Here is a 24,030-nt window from a genome sequence, read left to right on the forward strand (position 1 = left end):
GCAATGGCACAAATGCCACAACCAGTGATGTATAGCTGCCCTTTTATATCCCAAGGTTTCTACTATCTCCTACAAAATGTTTGTGCCATTTGTTTCCTTTGTGTCTATTTACTCTACAAAGTTATTGTTACATTATAGCTTCACTGTTCACAAAGACTTACCCTAAGGAGGCAGGACATGCTACCACAGTGGCCAATTTAAGGGAGAAAAGTCCAAGGGTCATCTCTCCCCTACTCATAACCCCCTAACAGCACAGCACCATCTCTAACATTACACACCTTCACTTTCTCCCACTTCTGTAATTCTGCTCACACTTTACCCATTTATCATACACATTTAAATGTGCAGAATTTGTTAATACTGAATTCTAGGGGGTTGGTTACAATGCCTCTTCAATTTCTACATTATTAAGAATGTAACTAACGAAACTTACAAGAAATACATTTTACTACTATAAGCAAAAATGATAACATACAAAGTATTTTTATATGAATGTAAATTTAGGCTAATACAGGTTATTAATGTCAGATTTATGACTGCGCTCTTTCAATCATCCTCTTCACTAAAGGTGGGCATCCTACTGGCACAGAGACCAAACCCTGCCCTCCACCTGTTTTTGTAGATTTTTTGGGGAACACAACTATACCTGTATTTTTAGGTGTTGTCAATAACTGCTTTCTCACTACATTTGCACAGTTGGATAGGTACAAGAGACCCTATGGCCAAGCAAAGCCTGAAATACTGATTATCTGGCCCTTTGCGGAAAAAATTTGATGACCCCTCCTCTTTACCATTATTTCATAAGGAAAAGTTGCTGAGTTACAAGGGACTTTCTTAAGAACGCACCTGTAATATGAAGTCAACCAACACTCTGGCGAACAAACTGAGGAACAAAGTGCAACATACTATTAATTTGTTGGGTATTGGGAAAACTAAAAAACTAAAAACCTAGTAGGGGAAGATTAAATTGTGACATAAAAATCAGAAACTAGGCCGGGTGCCGTGACTCACGCCTGTAATCCCAGCACTTTGGGAGGCCGAGGCGGGTGGATCACAAGTCAGGAGGTCAAGACCAGCATAGCCAAGATGGTGAAACTCCGTCTCTAGTAAAAATTCAAAAATTAGCTGGGCACGGTGTCAGGAGCCTGTAATCCTAGCTACTCGGGACGCTGAGGTGGGAGAATCGCTTGAACCAGGGTGGCAGAGGTTGCAGTGAGCCGAGATGGAGCCACTGCACTCCAGCCTGGGCGACACAGTGAGACTCCGTCTCAAAAAAAAACAGAAACAAAGTACAATTCAGATAAAAACAAAGTGTACTCTACTTAGGGGCCAAAACACACTCATTCTCTCTATGTATGTAAGTATGTATGTGTGTGTGTGTGTGTGTGTGTGTGTGTATAATACATGTATATATATACATAATATATACGTATATATTATATATGTATATATATACTCGATCTCGGGAGATCGAGACCATCCTGGCTAACACGGTGAAACCTCGTCTCTACTAAAAATACAAAAAAATTAGCCAGGCTTGGTGGCATATGCCTGTAGTCCCAGCTGCTCGGGAGGCTGAGGCAGGAGAATGGCATGAACCCGGGAGGCGGAGTTTGCAGTGAGCCGAGATCTCATGACTGCACTCTAGCCTGGGTGGTAGGGCCAGACTCCGTCTCAAAATAAATAAATAAATAAATAACATAACATAACATAAAATCAGATAATTCTTAGCAAATGCCCCTAAAATGTAAGTGCACTCAATAAATATTATCAATTCTTATTGTTCAGGTACCACATGTGCAGAGAGATCCTAGAAGAATAACCAGTATGGTAGAGAAACAATGTCAGAAAAACTCATGTTTTCAAGAGAGAAAGTTAGACATTTGGAAGGGGAGCAGAAAGAGACAGAACTATCTCAAACATCTGAAGATATTTCTTCTTGTCAGCTCCTGAGGGCAAGTGTAGGAAACAACAGAAATTCTAGGAAGAAAGAGTTTTTGAATCATTGTTATAGGTAGTATGGGGCAAACAACAAGGCAGGTCCACAAGTTCTTAGGATGGTTTTCATTGTGTTTTGATGGATAACATATATTAGACTATCAGTGAACACACAAAATCCAATCAGGATGACCCAACTATAAAATTGTAGCAACTGCTTGTGGTAGACTGTTTGCAAAGAGGTCTAAAGGTGTGCAGGCTCCTTTGAAATATGACATTCATGCTCTTCTCACCAAGAGCTGGAGTCTATTTCATGACCTCTTGAATCTGGGCTGACCTTGTAATCTGTTTTGACCAAAATAATAAAGAAATGATATTGAGTGACTTCCATTCTCACCCTCTTGAAACTCTAAGACCACCATGTGAAACAGCCTCTTTCTGAGGTTGAAAGACCACACGGTAACTAAAACCATCCCAGCTGAGTTCCCAGACCTGTGACTGAGGCTCTTACTCCAACCTGCCTCAGCCTAGCCTCCAGCTGACTGCAGCTAAGTGAGTGAGCCCAGAGGAAACCAGCAGAAAACAAATTGGCAATCCACAGAATAGTGAGCAAATAAAATGGGTTGTTATTTTGAGCCACCAAGTTTTGGGGTAGGTTGTTACTACAACCTACAATATTGCAGTAACTGATCAATGTATTGTCTGAAGAAAAAATGTATTTAAAACATCTGAAACTAAGTACGTGTCTGCTAAGTAGACAAAAGATAAAATTCAAAAAGTAAAGCATTTAGGAATCTCTGCTATACCATCCAGGAAAAAAGGACTCATGGATCCAAGTATCAGGACAATACGGCAGGCTTATTCCTTAAAAAGGAGCTAAACATCTCATTTAAAGACACTAGCTAAGAAAATTATCCAACTTCCTTTGAAAACCCCATGCTCACCAAATAGCCTTTGATTATAACTAGATTTCACACATAACTGACCATTAGTATAGGAATTGGTCAGTATGAAAGACATTCTTCCCTACTATAAATTGATGATGTTCTGATATGTCCATTGAATACCTAGAGCTTAATCACTTGGGGTATAGTAAAAAGCCAAATGTCTAAGCAGACAGTACAGAGTGGTATCTACACAAAGATCTAGGCAGCCAGTTTAAATTCCAGGCAATGCCCCTATTTTCTTAATGCATACTTCAACAGATATCAGGAAGAATTTTCCATAATAAGCACTATGTGATAAACAGTAAAAAGAGCATAAATGCTAGAATAATTGATGTTAGAGTCTAGCATTATCAGTTACTAGAAAAATAATTTTGGACACCGTAATCTTGGATTTACTCCCCACCCCAACTTGTTTCCTCACCTGTAAAAGGAGGCTGTTGAAAGGACTGACTTATTAACAAGGGAGAGCAGATGAACAATGAAAACAGGATGCCTTGTAAGCTAGTTAAACCTCTTCCAATGAAAAGCCAGTGTGAAACATAATTTGGACCACCTGTTAGTGATGTTGTGGAAGAGAGTTATACATTTTATATTGAAGGCTGAACTCACTCAAAGATGGGAAATATATTCCAAGTGTCTACATGGCTAAAAAAAAAGTTATTTTATTTATGAGATTAAGTCACTAGGTAATACAACAAATCATTTTCCTATCCCACAAGTCAAGAAATTCTGTATTCAGACCTGTTCCATTTTTTAACAATCCACAGCAAAAATAAACAAAATTGTTGTCGGCTAGCCAAAATTAAAGAATATTTTTATTTTTGTAGAAACAAGGTCTTACTATTTTGACCTGGCTGATCTCAAACTCTTGGCCTCAAGTGATCCTCCCACCTCAACCTCCCAAAATGTTTGGATTATAGGCATGAGCCACCGCATGCAGCCAGAATAAATCGTATTTAAGAGACTACATTATGCACCTTAGCTTACGCATTTGTCTATAGTTGATGTGCTATTGAGTCTTCTTTACCTATGAAAAAGCAGGTCAATCAAGAGTTAGCAATTAGTTAAGGAGAATGTAGTAAGGAGCTTCTGCTACATAATCACTGAGGATGCATCCTGGCCAGTCACTGTCTCAAAGAGTTCAGGTTCTTGGAGAAGACAAAATGTGAGGCACAGGCCAAGTGCGGTGGCTCACGCCTGTAATCCCAACACTTCGGGAGGCCGAGGCAGGTGGATCACCTGAGGTCAGGAGATCCAGACCATTCTGGCCAACATGATGAAACCCCGTCTCTACTAAAAATACAAAAATTAGCTGGGCGTGGTGGCAGGCTCCTGTAATTCCAGCTACTCGGGAGGCTGAGGCAGAGAATGCTTGAACCCGGGAGGCAGAGGTTGCAGTGAGCCGAGATGGCACCACTGCACTCCAGCCTGGGCGACAGGGTGAGACTCCGTCTCAAAAAAAGAGCAGCCTGCAGAGGTTTCCGTCATAGTTTTTCCAGAGTTGTTCCAAAGGTCAGGTTACCATACTACAGACCACCATATCCACGTACCACAAATGCATTTTTGGAAAGATCTCTTTGTAATCATTTGCGAGAAACAGAAAGTAATTCAAAATGTAACATGATTAAATGGCAGTCTTCTTCCAATTTTGTCAAAATTATTTCCGTTCAGTCATAGAAACCTAAGAACATCAGCAATACTCCTTAATTCAGGGTAAATGGTCAAATACCTTTGCTCCCAAACCAGTAATCTCTCTGGGACTGCTTGTAATTTCCAAAAGCCCAAACACTTCAGCATAAGGGAAAAAACAAAAATTGAAAATAAAAACCTAGTTATTTAAAATGTTTAAATGCCCTAAGACTACAAAGGATACAATTCCTTAATATTAATGGAAGATAAGACTAGGCTTGGTGGTTCACGCCTATAATTCTAGCACTTTGGGAGACCAAGGCAGGCAGATCACTTGAACTCAGGAGTTCAAGACCAGCCTGGGCAACACGACGAAACCCCGTCTATGAAAATACAAAAATTAGCCAGAGTGGTGGCATGCACCTGCAATCCCACACTCAGGAGGCTAAGGTGGTAAGGTGGGGGGGGATTGTTTGAGCCCACGAGGTGGAGGCTGCAGTGAGCCAAGATTGTGCCACTGCACTCCAGCCTGGGCGACAGAGCGAGAACCTGTCTCAAAATAAGTAAATAAATAAAAATAATGGAAGACAGATAGTTCTGGAATGCGAAAAATCTGTATTTCAGCAATTCAGATTTCTCCATGGTTAGAATAATTCAGCTCAAGAACCAAAGTGCCTTAAGAGTGTTTAATTCACAAAGGATAACAGTCATATTCATCCTACCCTCTAAAAGTGAGAAAAGCCTCTTTAAAAGACTGCTTACGTGGAAGGAGAAAGCAGTTTGAAATTTAAGCCTATTTACTATTTTGTTGATACTCTTAGTTTTTTTTTTATCGTAATTGTTAGCAAGGCCTGTAGCTTTAAAATCCTAAAAAAAAAAAAAAAAAAAAAAAAAAAACTTGTCCAATTACCTAATCCAAGTTCACTTAACTAGTTACGAGAACTCTATTTGAGTAACAAAACAAGTCTCTACAGGAGCAGAGCGAGATGTGCACTCCTACTTAAAAGTACTGTCTGACGAAAAGTACTCTACTTCTCTGGATATAACATGTTTAACGTGTAACCCTTTCTGTGGAGCTGAAGAAAAAGGTTTACTTAAAATAAATGCTCAAAGGAACTTTTCTAACCTCACTATTCATTTCTTAGACAGGTACAGTTTGCCCAAAACCCTCCCTTGATCAAGCCCCCACTCAGAAAAGGTGCCTCCTTACACGCGACGTTACTTGGTTGCTATTACACTTGGTTTGCAAGCCACAAAGGGACTCCTTTTGAGTGCAGAGGATAAAGCATAAGAAAAAGAGAGGATCACCCTCTTCGAGTGATTGATCAAGTCAGGTTCTCACTTAGAGATCCTGTTTAAACACAAGACGCTAAAACACACCCCCTTGCTCCGTGTCACAGGACTAGATCTCTTGGGATAAATTAAGCGACGGGCTGAAAATGTAGGAGCTGTAACTACACCAGCAGCTCCGCGTTCTTATCAAAACAATAGCGAGTGGCACATGTCAGGCAGCCCACATGCGCAGGGGGATAAAGCGGCGCCTGGCTGAGTCTGGAGTTGAACTTGTCTTAACCCCCTCCCCCAACAACCTCCACCGCGCTTCCCGGCTATGCGAAAGTGAAAACGAGGGGCGCCCAAGGCCCTGCTTCTTCCCCCTTCCTCTTCCCCTTGCCCAGCCGCGACTTCTTCCTCACTGATCTCCCGGGGGCGGAGACGCTGAGTTCCCCGGAGACGAGTTAGTCACCAAGAAGAGGCGGTGACAGAGAGCGCGGCTCGCGTCGCACTCCGAGGCCTAGCAGCGCCGGACGGGAGGCCGCGGACGGAGGCTCTCGCGTCCCGCGCCCTCCACCCCTGGCCCGTAGGGACGCCCCCTCCTTCCCTTCTAGAGCGAGTCTCAACTCCGCTCCTCTCTCCCCTACCCCAGGCAGCTCCAACGTCAGACCCCACTCCCGACTGAGAAAACGAAGCCCAGCCCAGTCGTTTCCTGCCCACCGGGGCAGGAATTCCCTTCCCCGGCCCAGGGACTGCGGCCCCACGTCGCTGACCCTAGCGGGGATCCCCTCGGCCGCCGGGAGGGGATCCCGGAACTGGCCCCGGAGTGCGCGTGTGGCCGCGGCGGGGAGGGGCGAGGCGGGGAGTTTCCGCCGCCCCGCGGCCAAGAGGGCGGGAGGGCGACAGCAGCGGCTAGGAGCGGTCCCCGAGGCCGGCCAGGGACCCAGCCTCCTCCGCCACTACCAACCCGCGTTCCCCACGCGCGCCGCCGCCAGTTGGCCCCGCGCGTTCTCCAGGTGGAGGCCAGGAGGCAGAGAACCGCGGGCCCGGGGGCCACCCGTCACTTTCAAGTCGCCCCGCCAGAAGCCCAGGGCGAGGAAAAGGAGAGAGACAAAAGAGCGCTGCGGGGGGAGTCCCCACACCCCCCGCGGCCCCGCACACGGCCCGGCTCTTACTCGTAGTGGCGGAAGATCTCGTTGGTGACTTTACAGTAGAAAACTTCCTCGTCGGGCCGCAGGTCCGCGGGCGGCTTCTGTCTCACAAACGGCTTTCGGTGTAGCAGCGGCATCTCCCGTCCGCCCGCGGGCTCGCCTGGACCCTCGGCCGCCCGCGCCGGCCCCGCTTCCCTATCAAAATTGGAGGGAAAGGAAAGCCGGTAAGGTGGGGAGCCCTCGGCGGCAGCGTGGGCCGGTCCGCGCGCTGGGAGAAGCTCGGCTGCCTTTTGTGTGACTGACGCGCCGCGGCCGCTACCGGAGCCGAGTTCGTTCCTGCCGCTGCCCGGGTGTCGAGCGAGCGGAGCCGCCGCCGCCCCTGCCCCCCGAGCGCGCCCTACCTCCTCTCGTCCTGCCGCCGCCTCACAATGGGGCAGGACGCCCCGCCGCGGGGGGCAGTGCGGGAGCGGCGGCGGCCCCCTCCCCCAGCGCCGGCTCCTCGCCCGCCGCCGCCGCCAGGCTCACAACGTGCTCGGCGCGCAGCTGGCCGGCCGGCCAGCCCAACGCCGCCAGAGCGCTCGCCGCGGGCGGACCCCGGAGCTGCTCCGCTTTGTTCCCGGCTCGCCTCCACTTCCCCGCCGGCGCCGGCCGGCTCCCGAGCGACCCTCACCTGCGATCACGCCGACTGCCACTTGTCCACCTTCTCCACTACAAAGGCAACGAGGGGAGACCCCGTCCTCCCAGGGGACCGCCTCTCTCCGGCCCCGCCGCGCCCCTGGCTGCCGCTTCTCCCGCTGCCACTGCCCGACTCCGCGCGGGGAATTGCGTCCCACCGCCACTTCCCCGCCTCTCGGAGCTCCTGGGAAGTTTCTGATCTACTTTCGGCTCTGAAGGAGGAAGAGCTGTTGGGAGGAGCTTTTCACTCCTCGCTTCTACCTTTTTATTGGCTACTCGATGACTTTTACAGCCTGTCACTGATACAGGAAGAGACAGCGGAGAGCCTGGGAGAACTACATTATTAATTAATGGAGCAACCCCTCGTGAAGATTCAGAAGCATCCTCCATGTTTGAGATTATCAGCCAAAAGATCTAGGGAAAGCGCTGGGGGTTCATAAACACATGGCTAACAAAGTAAAGCCTTCAAGTCTGGCACAGACTCTTGACTACACGATGGGAAAAGGGATTCCAATTACGATTTAACTTGTATTTTAAAGATGAGAAAAGAAATGAATAAGAAAATTTGTTGCTATTTTTCTTCTTCCAAATTAGAATCTATATCTCTAAAAATACTTTGCATGTTTAGTAAACATCCATCTTGAACAGAAGATACCTTGACATCAGTTCTATTTAATACTTATGGCAATTAAGAGATTTAGAAAGCAGAGGAAAAGACCAAAAAAAAAGTATGTGTTACAAAGTGTCATCATGCTTGTAGGACCCCAGCATTCTTGAAACTAACGCACCTTTAAAAAGTAATATTTACACTGCTGTAAATATTTGCAAAGTATCAATGTTTAATTCACTTAGAATTTTAAGGATTATGGATTTACTAGCGAAAATTCCCCTAAAGCAACTTTCCCATATCAGTAACTTTTATTTAGGGAAACAAGTTTAATGTACATAATACATGTGACCTTGGAATTCAATAGAATTTTCGAAACTAGAAGTAACTCAGAACGTTCACTAGATGTGTTTTAAAGTCTTTTTTGATACTGTCCTTAACATTTGCTTATTTGCAAATTAATATGTAAGAATGAGTCTAAAAGTAAGTTTTAGGAATGGTTATTCGACAAAGATGTTATTCCTATTACCAATACTGCGAAATGATAATTACAGAAACAATGTGGGATCCGTTTTATAACTTCAAATTTAAGTTCCTTTGTACTTTGGAGCAGAAAATGTAAGAAATCGAAATCAAGAGTTAGTATTTTTTATCTTTCAGGCTGGCTTTAACTGTTCATACACCTAGCAAAATAAACATTTGTGAAAGGCGTTATTCTTTGGGTGTTTTAAATTTCATTAATACTATGAATGCACCTTACTGTACAGAAGTCACAGAAGTTTGGAAATGCTCCTGTAAGTAGTAAGTATATACTTTAGTATCGGTTAACTCTTCAAATAAGAGTTTACAGATTTAATTTTTTTTTTTTTTTTGAGACAGAGTCTCACTCTGTCCCCCAGGCTGGAGTGCGGTGGCACGATCTCGGCTCACTGCAACCTCTACCTCCTGAGTTCAAGCGATTCTCCTGCCTCAGCCTCCCAAGTAGCTGGGATTACAGGCGCACACCACCACGTCCAGCTAATTTTTGTATTTTCAGTAGAGACGGGGTTTCACCATGTTGGCCAGGGTGGTCTCAAACTCCCGATCTCAGGTGATCCGCCAGCCTTGGCCTCCCAAAGTGCTGGGATTACAGGCGTGAGCTACCGCGCCCGGCCAAGATTTGGTGTTTTAAACCTGTCTCCAACTAGTATACTGAGTGACAAGTTAGAATTCCCTGCCTAGAAAGTATTTATTGGGCCGGGCGCGGTGGCTCATGCCTGTAATCCCAACACTTTGGGAGGCCAAGGCGGCCGGATCATGAGGTTAGGAGGTTGAGACCATGCTGGCCAACATGGTGAAACCCTGTCTCCACTAAAAGTAAAAAATTAGCTGGGCATGGCGCTGGGTGCCTGTAATCCCAGCTGCTCGGGAGGCTGAGGCAGGAGGCGGAGGTTGTCCTGAGCCGAGATGGCGCCACTGCGCTCCAGCCTGGGCGACAGAGACTCCGTCTCAAAAAAAAAAAAAAAAAAAAAAAAAAAAAAAAAGTATTTATTGATCTACCAGGTGAAAAATTTAGAGCCCACAAAGGTAAACTCAAAAGGGGGATTGGGAAAATGGATAATTTTCAAGCTATATTGAAGCATCACCCTCACAACTCAAAATCCCAATTTAACAATTAAGCTAAATAAAGATGAAATTCTTTCTGAATACGTCAGTATTTATATTTATTAGATCTTACTGTTCAATAAGTCATTCAAATCATGATCAAAAGTCGTTATTTTATTATTAAATACAAATATTTAAGTTGGGTTTTTTCTTATACTAGCTTAAAATTTTATTCTATTCCATCAAAAGCTATCATGCTCAGTTTTCTCACGATCATACTCAAATTTCAATACTATCATAACTTATTTCTCTGAATTATATACATATGGTTTATTTTAATGATTTGTGGCATTTAATGAATGTTATACAGTTGTTCATTGTTATTTCAGAACAATGTAAGTTTAGAAAATTATAATTAAAATGTTCAAAAGTTTAGTTTTAATGTGTTTATAATACTCAAATGAATAGACTACCTAAACTGCCTCATGAAATAACATTTAAAGTATTCTACACATTCACAACTAAAAGCTTACCTAATTTATGATCTATTTCTGTATTTTGGTATCATGATTTCTTCCCTGCTTTGTTAATTACTACTTCTTGGCTTTTGAGAATAAAAAGCTCATTGCTGTATTCAGAAAGTAGTTAAAGGATACTGTCATAACATAGGACTTTGTGTAAAAAATTTTTTTGGAAATATTGTCAAGGAAACAAAGCTAAAGTGGCACAAAAAAAGAGAAGGCAATGATATTAAAATTATTTAATTTTTAACAATTTAAACATTTGTCAAGCTCCTTTTGTGTGCCAAGACACTGTACTAGCTCATGTAAGGGATACAATGTAAATAAATGTATCCTGGCTTCAAAAAATGTATAATCTTATAGGAAAGAGACAATGCAAATACAACCAATACAAGAATTATGTGAATCCTGATGATCACGAGTAATATAATGCAAAAAGAGAAGTAGAAAATATTAGAATAAAATGTAGAAGGAAGACCCCAGGATCAGTCCTAAATGAAGTCATCTACAGGGCATGATTTGAAGGGCAACAGAGAACTCATGCTCCAACATATCCTCGCCAGTCTCAAGCGACAACCCCATCAATCTCCATTAGTCGTCCTTCAGCATGAAGACACGTAAAATGGGAATATTCTAGTTAGGCAGAACATATATTAATCTAATACTATCAAGACATAGTTTGATTAAAATATCAATTTTGAGACACATACTGCCTTAGAAGTAAAGACAAAACAAGACTATGGGCCAGGCGAAGTGACTCACACCTGTAATGCCAGCACTTTGGGAGGCCAAGGCAGGTGGATGAGGTCAGGAGTTCAAGACCAGCCTGACCAACATGGTGAAACCCTGTCTCTACTAAAAATACAAAATTAGCTGGGCATGGTGGCACACGCCTGTAATTCCAGCTACTTGGGAGGCTGAGGCAGGAGAATCACTTGAACCCAGGAGGCAGAGGTTGCAGTGAGCCAAGATCATGCCATTGCACTCCGGTTTGAGCAACAAGAGCAAAATTCCATCAAAGAAAAAAAAAAGACTGGAATTTTAAGTTTTATTATTTATTTATTTTTGAGACAGTCTCTTACCCTGTTGCCCAGGCTGGGGTGCAGTGGCACGATCTCAGCTCATGCAACCTCTGCCTCCTGATGCAACCTCTGCCTCCTGCGTTCAAGTGATTCTCCTGCCTCAGCCTCCCGAGTAGCCGGGATTACAGGTGCCTGCCACCATACCCAGCTAATTTTTGTATTTTAGGTAGAGACGGGGTTTCCCCATGTTGGCCAGGCTGGTCTCGAACTCCTGACTTCAGGTGATCCACTCGCCTTGGCCTCCCAAAGTGCTGGGATTACAGGCATGAGCCACCGCACCTGGCCCGGAATATAAATTTTTAAAGTTTGAGGCCAGGCGTGGTGGTTCATACCTGTAATCCCAGCACTTTGGGAGGCCGAGGCGGGTGGATCACGAGGTCAGGAGTTCGAGACCATCCTGGCTAACATGGTGAAACCCCGTCTCTAATAAAAATACAAAAAATTAGCCAGGCATGGTGGCGGGCGCCTGTAGTCCCAGCTACTTGGGAGGCTGAGGCAGGAGAATGGCGTGAACCCAGGAGGCGGAGCTTGCAGTGAGCCAATATCCAGCCACTGCACCCCAGCCTGGGCGACAGAGTGAGACTCTGTCTCAAAAAAAAAAAGAAAGAAAGAAAGAAAAAAGTTTGAACTAGAACAATTTTCCTGCAGCTTCTATTAATATTGACTGATTAACTTAAGAAAGGCTTTATACTTAGGTGGTTTAGTGAGACAGTAATCACTTACACCTGAAAGAAACCTTTGGGACCTCTGTTAATTCTTCCATTTTGCACCTGAGGAAATTGAAGCTGAGGAACCAGAATCCAGGCCTCCTGAGTCTCCTTGTCCAGTCAGTGTCTTTAGACCACACTGCTCTTTCTTTGGATTCAATAATAGCTAATTTTCTTATATACCCTACTCCCACAGCATTAATGAGCTAAAATACCATTATACATCCTTCCTAAAGTGCTCATATAGGGATAAGCTATATTACTGATGATTAGAAATAATTATTTTTGTTGCAGCTGTGTCCTTAACATTAAAAAATAAAAAGTAAAGAAATAATTATTTTTGAGAATCATCCAGGAAAGCAATGGGGTAATAAAAGTCATAGGCCGGGTGAGGCTGCTCATGTCTGTAATCCCAGCACTTTGGGAGGCTGGGGCGGGCAGATCACCTGAGGTCAGGAGTTCAAGACAAGCCTGGCCAACGTGGTGAAACCCCGTCTCTACTAAAAGTACAAAAATTGGCTGGGCGTGGTGGTGTGCGCCTGTAATCCCAGCTACTCGGGAAGCTGAGGCAGGAGAATCGTATGAACCTGGAAGGTGAAGGTTGCAATGAGCTGAGATCATGCCGTTGCACTCCAGCCTGGGGACACAGTGAGACTCCGTCTCAAAAAAAAAAAAAAAAAAAATCATAAATTTCTCTAATTGGACAGCTGACATGAGACCTATCTCCATGCTTCCATTAACACATCTAACAGATAGAAAATTTCATTTCCCTTACCTCTCAGCAATATTATAAAAGTACTTACAGTATAGCTGCCCAAGCTTTTCTGAGAAAGATGCCTTACAAATATATACAAGGAACATCTTTAGTTTTGTAATTCCTTTTCTCACATATCTCTAACATTTGTCTCAAGTCTTCTATGTTCTTTATAATGTCTTTCTAATGAATTCATGGCATTTTACCCATAAAAGATTTCTATATACAGTACTGTTATTTAGAAGCAATGTGTTTTCCTTTATATCTGAAACCAGTGGCCTAGTGTTAGAATAGTGGTTCTAGAACTTGGCTGCCCATTGGAAACACCTGAAGGGTTTTTGAAAAATACTGGTGCTTGGGCCATATCCAGGCCCCAGGTCGCTGGGAAAGAGACCCAGGCATTGGGAGTTTAAAAATCTACTCAGGTAATTTAATGGACTGCCAAGGCTGAGAATTACTGTGCTCGGACTGTTGATGTTGAAGTGGTAATGTGGGCAAATTGGGAATACATCTTTTTATTCAACCCCTTCCGATTAGAGTCATGAATTATGGGATGTAGTTAAAGTTGAGAGAGTAGTCTATGGTCATCATCTTTATCACAGTAATACTTTACATTTAATGACTGTTTCCAACTTGTCAAGGATTGTGCTAAGGGCTTTAAGGGAATCATCTCATCTCATGCAATTTTCACCTCAAACTAAGAAGTACTTATCACCATTTTACAGATGAAGCCAGTGAGGCTCTGAGAGGTTAATTAAGTAGCATGCCCCAAACCATACAGTTCAGAAACAGGAAGGCCTAAATTCCAATCTTATCAACTCCAGAATCCAAGCTTCTTACTACTATTCTATATTTCCATAGGACTGACTTGCTAATCTAGCTCAGATATAAACTGAAACAGGGAACTCAGTACTATCCACTGAACAATTTAGAACTTGTAATGATTAAGAAGGTTTGTTAATCATAAAAGTACTAACGAAAACCATGTAAGATTTTTTTAAAAATTATCTCAAAAGAAAGAAAGCCTACTTATAAGAGAAAATACACAATATATAATTCTACAAAATAAAAATTTAGGCTGGGCACAGTGACTCATGCCTATAATCCCAGTATTTTGGGAGGCCGAGGCAGGTGGATCACTTGAGCACAGGAGTTCAAGAACAGCCTGGGCAACATGGTGAAATCCCATCTCTACTGAAATACAAAAATTAGCCAGGTATGGTGGCACACGCCTGTGGTCCCAGCTACTCAGGAGTCTGAGGTGGGAGGATCATTTGGGCCCAGGAGGTTGAGGCTGCAGTGAGCCAAGATCTCACCACTGCACTCCAGCCTGGGCAACAGAGTGAGACCCTGTCTCAAAAATAAAATAATAAATAAAGTTCCGCATATAAAAGTTAACACAGGCCAGGCACAGTGGCTCACACCTGTAATCCCAGCACTTTGGGAGGCCGAGGCAGGTGGATCACCTGAGGTCAGGAGTTCAAAATCAGCCTAGCCAGCATGGCAAAAACCTGTCTCTACTAAAAATACAAAAATTAGCCAGGCTTGGTGGTGGGCTCCTGTAATCCCAATTACTCAGGGAGACTGAGGCATGAGAATCGCTTAAACCTGGGAGGCAGAGGTTGTAGTGAGCCGAGATCGTGTCACTGCACTCCAGCCTGGGCAACAGAGCAAGACTCCATCTCAAAAAACAACAACAACAAAAACAACGAAAAAAAGCTACCACAAAGTTGAAAGACAATAGCAAATTGGGGAAAAAAATATTTGCAACTCGCTGACAAAGGGCTAATTTCCCTAATATATAAAGAGCTCCCATAAATAATAATAATAAATCACAATAACCCAACATAAACAGAAAAGGAAGCACAAATGGCTTTTCAAACATAAAAAACACTTTGGGAGGCTGAGGTGGAGAGATCACTTGAGGTCAGGAGTTTGAGACCAGCCTGGCCAATGTGTCGAAACCCCGTCTCTACTAAAAATACAAAAATTAGCCAGGCGTGGTGGCGTAGGCCTGTAGTACCAGCACTTGGGAGGTTGAGGGTGGAAAATCGCTTGAAACTGGGAGGTGGAGGTTGCAGTGAGCTGAGATTGCACCACTGCACTCCGGCCTGAGAGACAGAATGAGACCCTGCCTTAAAAATAAAAATAAAAGATATTCACTAACAAGACAAGTATAAATTAAAACTACACTGTGAGGCCGGGTATGGTGGCTCACACCTGTAATCCCAGCACTTTGGGAGGCCAAGGCAGGTGGATCACAAGGTCAGGAGTTTGAGACCAGCCTGGCCAGAATGGCAAAACCCTGTCTCTACTAAAAATACAAAAATGAGCTGGGCATGGTGGCACACGCCTGTAGTCCCAGCTACTCAGGAGGCTGAGGCAGGAGAATCACTTGACCCTGGGAGGTGGAGGTTGCGGTGAGCCGAGATCGCACCACTACACTCCAGCCTGGGCGACAGAGCAAGATTCCGTCTCAAAAAAAAAAAAAAAGAAAAGAAAAAGAAAGAAGTAAAATAAAAACACATACAAGGTACAGAAAAATGTGTATGTTGTTTAAAAAATATTATAATATATATTTGCCTGATACATAAAATACATCTGGAAGGATATGTAAGAAAATAACACACTGGTTGCCTCTGAGAAAGGGGTGGCTAGGAGACAAGGATGAAAGGGAAACTTTTTAGCTGGGCATGGTGGCTCACACCTGCAATCCTAGCACTTTGGGAGGCCGAGGCGGGTGGATCACGAGGTCAGGAGTTTGAGACCAGCCTGACCAACATAGTGAAACCCCCTCTCTACTAAAAATACATATTAGCCGAGATTGCACCACTGCACTCCAGTCTAGGCGACAGAGCGAGACTTTGTCTCAAAAAAAAAAAAAAAAGAAAGAAAGGGAAACCTTTCACTGTTGAAATAAAGATACAGAGGTTAGAAGGTAAAGAGGCAAGTCAGGAGAGATAGCTGATGTAATAAAATCTTTCACTTCACAATCAGAAATATAAAGTTTAGAACTGCAAATAGAAAGTAAAAAATGTCTGTGTTAAATATTTTACAGGGCCTACCATAGTGTCTTTCCCAAGATAGAAGTTCAATACATATCTGTTGGATGGATGAATGGTTACATGGATATATAAAACACAAATTTAATTTGATTATAGTGAGAGAAATAGAGTCAGATAACTGCTTTCATCTTAACCTGGAAATAGAATTGAGATTACACATTTCTGAAAAATTCTATCTAGATTACCTACGTTTATAGTTATTTACCAACTTACAAAATAAATCATACTATGTTCAACCAGAGAGATTTATTGTTGTTTTTAAAAATAAGACATATAAGGAATAATCAGACATAAAAACCGTTTTGACTCCAATAACTTACAATGTGCTTTAAAAGAAGAGTCCTCACATTGCACTGCCTGTATCCACAGACTACCTGGCCATTATGGAAGGAGAGCTAGAACTAAGACAAAATTAAGAACCCAGGTCTGAAAGTATTTTTGTTAAATTCTAACCTAAGAGTTCCTGACAAAACGTGCTAATGCTATAGGTTCCTATAAAATAAAAACATTTAGGATTTTCTCCTTTTTATTTTTGTTGCCATCATCACATCTGGAAGCCAGGAATCATAATAACCGCTCTATTTTCTCTAATTCAAATGTTTGGACTGGGTGTGGTGGTTCACGCCTATAATCCTAACATTTTGGGAGGCCAAGGTCAGAGGATTGCTTGAGGCCAGGAGTTCAAGGCCAGCTTGTGCAACAAAGCGAGACTCCATCACTAACTCAAAAAAAAGAAAAAAAAAAAGTTTGTGTTGAAACACCATCTCATTTCCTTACCACAACTGAAATTTCTTTTTTTTAGCTGAAAAAAGATCATTTCATTTCAAGCTACCAGTAAACTGTTTCTCAATCACTTCTCAGCATGTAGACGCCACATTCATGGCCCCTGGAAGCCAGTTTATCTACCAGAATAAGCATCTTGCCCGATTCAAGTACAAAAACCAAATTTCTCTATACTAAACACCTTTCTTTTTCCCATTTCTTTCCTTTTCTTTTCTTTTCTTTTCTTTTTTTTTTTTGAGACAGAGTCTCGTTCTGTTGCCCAGGCTGGAGTGCAGTGGCATGATCTCGGCTCACTGCAACCTCCGCCTCCCGGGTTCAAGTGATTCTCCTGCCTCAGCCTCCTGAGCAGCTGGGATTACAGCTGTGTGCCACCACGACTGACTAATTTTTGTATTTTTAGTAGAGACGGGGTTTCACCTTGTTGGTCAGGCTGGTCTCCAACTCCTGACCTCGTGATCCGCCCTCCTTGGCCTCCCAAAGTGCTGGGATTACAGGCATGAGGCACCACGCCCGGCCCTTCTTTTTCCCATTTCAAACTCTCCTCTTAAAATAAGGACTTCACAGTCAGTTCCAGTGTAGCAGGCAGAATAACAGCCTTCAGAGATGTCCACATCCTAATACCCATAACCTGTGAATATGTTATCTTATATGGCAAAAGAAACTTGCAGATGTGATTAAGCTTAAGAACTTTAAGGCCGGGCGCGGTGGCTCACGCCTGTAATCCCAGCACTTTGGGAGGCGAGGCGGGCAGATCATGAGGTCAGGAGATCACGACCATCCTGGGCAACATGGTGAAACCGCATCTCTACTAAAAATGCAGAGGCTGGGCACAGTGGCTCACGCCTGTAATCCCAGCACTTTGGGAGGCTGAGGCAGGTGGATCACGAGGTCAGGAATTCGAGACCATCCTGGCCAACATGGTGAAACCCCGTCTCTACTAAAAATACAAAAATTAGCTGGGCATGGTGGTGGGCGCTTGTAATCCCAGCTACTTGGGAGGCTGAGGCAGGAGAATGGCTTGAACCCGGGAGGAGGAGGTTGCAGTGAGCAGACATTAAGCCACTGCACTCTAGCCTGGGCGACAGAGCAAGACTCTGTCTCAAATAAATAAATAAATAAATAAATAAATAAAATAAAATAAAAATACAAAAATTAGCTGGGCATTGTGGCACGTGCCTGTAATCCGAGCTACTCGGGAGGCTGAAGCAGGAGAATCACTTGAACCAGGGAGTCAGAGGTTGCAGTGACCCGAGATCGTGCCACTGCACTCCAGCCTGGCAACACAGAGACTCTGTTTCAAAAAAAAAAGAAAGAAAGAAAAAAGAACTTTGAGATAGAGAGAGTAGCCTGTATTACCCAGGTGGACCCAATCTAATCACATAAATCCTTGAAAGTGGAGAACATTTCCTGACTATGTTAGAGAGAGATGCGATGGTTGAAGCAAAGTCAGAGATGTGACATTGCTCCTTCTGAATGAGAAAGAGGGCCACACACCAAGTCTCTAGAAGGTCTTCCAGCTTCTAGAGACCGCTTCAAGCTGCAAAAATTCATCTAGTCATTTCATAATACACTATTACCTTAGCCATATACAACCATAACATATATACAAAATTTGCATGTATATAGTAAGGAGATGATTATAAATGGACAAAGACTTTTTTCCTGATTGGATTCCATCTCCTCAGACCTCTTTAGGGAACTTGCTCCATCAGTCAGTTTTCCTCTAATATCAACCTCTCCTTCACCCCTAAGATCTCTGCCCTTAGACTGTAAACTAGTGTAGGTCCATTTCATTGTGGGGGAAAAAATTAAGTACAATCCTCAGCACTGTTTCTGTTCTCAACCAACATTTTAAAAAGGAAATCTGTATTCTTTATTTCTCCTTATTTTCCAGCTCACTATAGCCTTTCTACTCCCTACACTCCCCTGAACCTGCTTTTGATTCTGACCCCCTAACTGACAAATCCAAAGAACTCTTCTCCAGGAAAGAGTCCACCTTACTCACTCAATCTGTTCCTTGGCATCCTCTCCTACCTTGGTCTCTGTGATACAAATTTTCCTGATTCTCCTCCTACCTCCCTGAGCTGTTCTGAGTCTCCTTGGCATCACCTCTTCTCCCTCAATCTATTCTCTAAAGCCTGGCATTTCCCAGCTTCCTCCCATCCATTCTCTTCTCTTGTCATTCCTCAGGGAGGCCTTCCCTAAATCAACATCTCTTCCTCACAACATTAACTGCCTCCATTCTCATTGGAATATGAGCTCCTCTGGGGTCTTGTTCTTTCCTTGAGGACTCCGCCACAGTTCCTAGAAGATTTTTGAGATGATGAGTGACTCCCCAAACTGACATTTTATAAAGATTAATCTGGGAGGAAGTGGTGTGTAAGACTGACTGGACTGGGTAGTGCCTGGAGATAGGAAAACTTGTTGAGAAGGCATAGAAGTACCAGCACGAAATGAAATGAAGCCTGAATTATTGCCTTGGCAATGGAAGGGAGGAAAAGTCAGGAGAAATATTTCAGAGGAAATATTTGGTGACATAATTTGATGATACACTAAGGAAGAGAGAGGAAAAATCAGAGATGATTCAAAGGTTTCAGGCTTGGGAGACCAGAAAGATAATAACATCATGAACAGAAATGGGGTAACAAGGTATTAAATTAGGTTTGGGAGGGAGATGAAGCATTCAGTTTTAGATATGCAGCATCAAATCAGACCTGCCCTGCAGGCAGTTGGAAGACAAGGCTCTGAAATCAAAAGAGAAATCAGGCCGGGCGCGGTGGTTTACGCCTGTAGCACTTTAGGAGGCCAAAGTGGACAGATCGCCTGAGGTTAGGAGTTCGAGACCAGCCTGGCCAACATGGCAAAACCCCTCCTCTACTAAAAATACAAAAATTAACTAGGTTTGATGGCACTCGCCTGTAATCCCAGCTACTTGGGAGGCTGAGGCAGGAGAATCACTTGAAGCAGGGAGGCGGAGGTTGCAGTGAGCCAAGATTGTGCCACTGCACTCCAGATTGGGTGACACAGCAAGACTCTGACTCAAACAACAACAAAAAGCAAAACAAAAAACAAACAAACAAACAAAAACCCGAAGAGAAATCAAAATTCAGTCTATAGATTAGGGGATTGTTTCCAGAAATGTGATAACAAAATCTACTAGAGTTGATGGATATATAGTAGGTAATTATTTGCTGAACAAATACATTTCTTTATACTCTTCCCTCTATTCAGGCACCCAGATCAAGTACCAAGACACTCAAGACCCCTCCTCAGCACTCCAGAATACCTCACTGAGCCACTGAGTAACCACCGGCATTTGTTTTCTCCGTTCCTTCTTCTGGGTTGATCATTGCTAGATATTACAAAAATGTGCTCTCTAATCTTAGGGGCCTTTGCTGACACTCTAAACTCCTTTTACATCATCTCATATTGACATTCTGTTGAACGCCCTACAACAGGTTTTCCGAACTTCTTTTCATTTTTCTCAAGGCTCCAACCTGGTCTTCCTTTCTTAGCCTTACCTTTGCTCTCGGCAATCACCTTGCCTCCTAATTTATTTACAAAATCTGAGCCATTCTGAGAACTTCTGTTCTCAACCCAATTTTTTTTTCACCACATCCCTTTTTCCTTCCCTATTGTTTTCTCCTCTCCAAGACTATATCTATGCCTTTGATCGTATTTGCTTCAACCCCTAGGAGCTTATTCCTTGACTTCCTTAATATCTCCTCCCTTTGGTTGCTCTTTTCTTTTGGCCTACTAACATATTCAAGCTTCCCTGATCTTCCAAAAATGTTTTTCCTTCACTTTGATTCCCTCAGATGTATCATCTTATCACTCTCCTTTTTTTATCACTAAGTAATATAAACTTTACAACTATGTGTAGTCTTGATTAGTAGTTCGAATTCTTGCTGTAACAGTGTTGTGTTGGTATGTTCTATATATTGTGTCAGTCTCCAAAATGTAAGTTTCTATAGGGCAGCAATCATCTGATAAATTAATCTTAAAATGTTTTCAGCTGTGACTAATCAAATATTTGCACCATTTGGGATGCTGACTTTCAAGAAGCAACAAATAATCTAATACTACTTTGCCTTTATTTGTTTCCAAGGAATTGGAATTGTAAATGCACTTAGAGTTATCATATGATGATTATCTCTTAGTCATAAGTCAGGATTTTTCGCTCTATAACAATAGCAATTATACTCATTTAAGGCTGTAAGCAAGAATCTTGGGCAATTCCTATGGCAACAAACTTGAGTGTTAGCATGAGAAGTGGGCAGTCAAGTTTTAATTTAGAAAGTGCCAATAAGAACACCGCATTTTTCCATTATTAATTTAAATACAATCAATCTTACTTCACAAAATATATTTATGTTTTAGAACTTTCTAGCAGGAAACTTAGCAATGCCTTCCCCTCTGTACTCTACACGTATACCTACATTTCTCCTTCAATCATAAAAAGCTACCTCATTCCACCATAGCTACCGTCTTAATTGTTAATGAAGTTAGAGAAAACACCAGAGGCCAGGCGCGGTGGTTCACGCCTGTAATCCCAGCACTTTGGGAGGCCCAGGCAGGCGGATCACGAGGTCAGGAGATTGAGACCATCCTGGATATCACGGTGAAACCCTGTCTCTACTAAAAATACAAAAAAATAGCCGGGCGTGGTGGCAGGCACCTGTAGTCCCAGCTACTTGGGAGGCTGAGGCAGGAGAATGGCGTGAACGCGGGAGGCGGAATCTTGCAGTGAGCCGAGATCGCGCCACTGCACTCCAGTCTCTGGGCGACAGAGTGAGACTCTGTCTCAGAAAAAAAAAAAAAAAAAAAAGAGAAAACACCAGAATGTGATGCCAGGTATTTGGATCTAAGAGCTAAAGAATGAAATATTTAAAACTTAAATGCATCTGTATAACCAACTTTTAGAAAAATTTATTTTTGGCTGGGCATGGTGGCTTACGACAATAATCCCAGCCCTCTGGGAGGCCGAGGTGGGAGGATCATTTGAGGTCAGGAGTTTGAGACCAGCCTGGCCAACACAGCGAAACCCTGTCTCTACTAAAAATATAAAAATTAGCCAGGCTTGGTGGCAGGCGCCTGTAGCCCCAGCTACTCCGGAGGCTGAGGCATGAGAATCACTTCAACCCGGGAGGCAGAGGTTGCAATGAGCCAAGATCATGCTACTGTATTCCAGCCTGGGTGACAGAGCGAGACTCCGTCTAAAAAAAATACGAAAAACAAAAACAAAAACAAAAAAACTTATTTTTGTGATTTTACAAAAACCAAGTATGTGTTATATCACAACAAATGAAGGTTCCACAACTAGAAAATTGCTGAAAATATTTAAAGATATTGTGATTTATAATAAAGCAAATGTATTCCTTACGTATAAAAATTAAATGAAAAAAATCACAGAGCAACTTTGCCAATCACTAAATTTAAGAACAAGAAAGTCATAGTGGCTCAGATTAAAAATCTGACAGGCCACAGTGGCTTGTTCCTGTAATCCCAGAACCTTGGAAGGCCAAGGTAGGTGGATTGCTTGAGCCTGGGAGTTGAAGCCCAGCCTAGGCAACATGGCGGAACCCCATCTCTACTGAAAATACAAAGATTAACTGGGCATGATGGCGAGTACCTGTAGGCCCAGCTACTTGGGAAGCTGAGGTGGAAGGATCACCTGAGTCTAGAAGGTCGAGGCTGCAGTGAGCCATGATCAAACCACTGCAGTCCAGTCTGGATGACAGACTGAGACCCTCTCTCAAAAAAAAAAAAAAAAGTCTATGTCCCAAACATTCTGTATTATTATTCTCATTTTACAGATAGTAAGAGTAAGGCTTATACTCTTACTATAAAATACTAAGAGTAAGGCTTAGCAAGGGAAAGAAAATGTCCAAGATTCCACAGTATGCAAGTGGAAGAACTGGGATTCAAATTCAGATTGATTATATGTCAAAGTCTGTTCGTTCAACAAATATCTCAGTGTCTTCTAGCTGCCAGACATGGTTCTAGGGACCTTGGGATATATCAGGGAATAAAACAGAAGATCCCTGCACTCTGGGTGATTACATTCATTAGATGACAATTTCTCTATATTCTCTCCTGCTACCTACATCCACAAATAAAGAAAAATTTACTTTCCCAAAATTAACTCTTCTACTTATGTTCTTGATTTTTATCAGCTCAAGTCTCCTTTAAAACATAGAATACTCAATTATTGCCTCTTCCACTGTTCCACTGACCCCATCTAACTATATTAAATATACACAAGTATTATCTTTTTTTTTTTTTTTTTGAGATTGAGTCTCGCTCTGTCACCCAGGCTGGAGTGCAGTGGCGTGATCTTGGCTTACTGCAACCTCCGCCTTCCGGGTTCAAGCAATTTTTCTGCCTCAGCCTCCCGAGTAGCTGGGATTACAGGCACCCACCACCACACCTGGCTAATTTTTATATTTTTAGTAGAGACGGGGTTTCGCCAAGTTGGCCAAGCTGGTCTCAAACTCCTGACCTCAGGTAATCTGCCCACCTTGGCCTCCCAAAATGCTGGGATTACAGGCGTGAGCCACTGCGCCCAGCCAAAAAAAATGAACTTTTAGAGTCCCTGGTAGGCCAGAACTTTATTGGACCCAACTAGGATGCTCTTTCCAAGGAACAATGGGACTTAAAAAAAAAAATGTAAAGGTATATTAATTCATTGTCCTATCTAGAATGAAAGTTTTCCATTCTAAATTACCACAGCCATCACAAACTCCCTGCATTTCTATCACAGACAGACCATCCCCACGGTTTTGCCCTTTAGTGAATCAGTAAACTAATTTTTTTACTGGTTTGGTTCTCTTGTCTGGCAAGTAAACTCAGTTTGCCTTCAAAGGGGGAGGGGAAATAGATAAATCAATGAAACAAAACAGGAAGTCCAGAAATAGCCCAGTATAGGTAAGAATTCAGGATACAAAAAGGTAGCATTTTGAAACAGGGAAAATGATTCAGTCAAAATGACATTGAATCAACTGGCCAACTGTTTGGGGGGAAAATCAATTATATCTCTACCTATGTCTTACTTCAAAATAAGTTTCACATGGAATAAATATTACATGAAAAAGAAAACATAAGCATGTAAGGCAGAGTTTCATTCTGATGTAAAAGTCTGCTATTAAGAGAAAATGTGTGTAAGTATATAACCATGGTGTGGAGAATGATGCATAAGCGTGATACAATGGGTGGAAATAAAATTGAATAGACTAATAGATTTAACTGTATTAAAATTAAAACTTTTCTAACTTCAAAATAAAATTAAAGAGCAAATAGAAAACTTACCAAAATA

At 42.8% G+C, this 24,030-nt stretch overlaps 1 protein-coding gene and 1 long non-coding RNA gene across 8 annotated transcripts in view, besides 4 other annotated features; one reads left to right on the forward strand and one right to left on the reverse strand.

Moving 5' to 3' along the window:
* Window positions 1-7,830, reverse strand: part of BAZ1A (bromodomain adjacent to zinc finger domain 1A) — a 122,630-nt gene extending 114,800 nt beyond the window's left edge. For 3 of the 7 annotated variants that reach the window (XR_007063978.1, XM_047430887.1, XM_024449460.2), the window contains exons 1-2: window positions 7,339-7,830; window positions 6,962-7,132 (exon numbers count right to left, since the gene is read on the reverse strand). Coding sequence is in view for 6 of the 7 variants with exons in the window: in XM_047430887.1 (XP_047286843.1) it covers window positions 6,962-7,074 (113 nt within the window). In the remaining variant the exon portion in view is untranslated. Of the gene's footprint in view, window positions 1-3,862; window positions 5,383-6,961; window positions 7,133-7,338 lie in introns of those variants that run through there. The other 4 variants (NM_182648.2, NM_013448.3, XM_047430889.1 and 1 more) reach the window with 3 other exon arrangements.
* Window positions 6,519-6,878: a silencer, noted in NCBI's record as "silent region_5669". NCBI's record gives its function as "represses an Ori minimal core promoter by ATAC-STARR-seq in GM12878 lymphoblastoid cells {active_cell/tissue: GM12878}" and the evidence as "EXISTENCE:reporter gene assay evidence [ECO:0000049][PMID:35858748]".
* BAZ1A-AS1 (BAZ1A antisense RNA 1) lies at window positions 6,661-8,933 on the forward strand. Its single transcript, NR_160776.1, has one exon. It is a non-coding gene; the product is annotated as a BAZ1A antisense RNA 1 (long non-coding RNA).
* Window positions 7,049-7,158: a silencer, noted in NCBI's record as "silent region_5670". NCBI's record gives its function as "represses an Ori minimal core promoter by ATAC-STARR-seq in GM12878 lymphoblastoid cells {active_cell/tissue: GM12878}" and the evidence as "EXISTENCE:reporter gene assay evidence [ECO:0000049][PMID:35858748]".
* Window positions 7,209-7,528: a silencer, noted in NCBI's record as "silent region_5671". NCBI's record gives its function as "represses an Ori minimal core promoter by ATAC-STARR-seq in GM12878 lymphoblastoid cells {active_cell/tissue: GM12878}" and the evidence as "EXISTENCE:reporter gene assay evidence [ECO:0000049][PMID:35858748]".
* Window positions 7,629-7,728: a silencer, noted in NCBI's record as "silent region_5672". NCBI's record gives its function as "represses an Ori minimal core promoter by ATAC-STARR-seq in GM12878 lymphoblastoid cells {active_cell/tissue: GM12878}" and the evidence as "EXISTENCE:reporter gene assay evidence [ECO:0000049][PMID:35858748]".
* Window positions 8,934-24,030: the final 15,097 nt, after the last annotated feature.

This window comes from Homo sapiens, chromosome 14 (assembly GCF_000001405.40).
Source record: "Homo sapiens chromosome 14, GRCh38.p14 Primary Assembly".
In the NCBI taxonomy this organism is placed as follows: domain Eukaryota; kingdom Metazoa; phylum Chordata; class Mammalia; order Primates; family Hominidae; genus Homo; species Homo sapiens.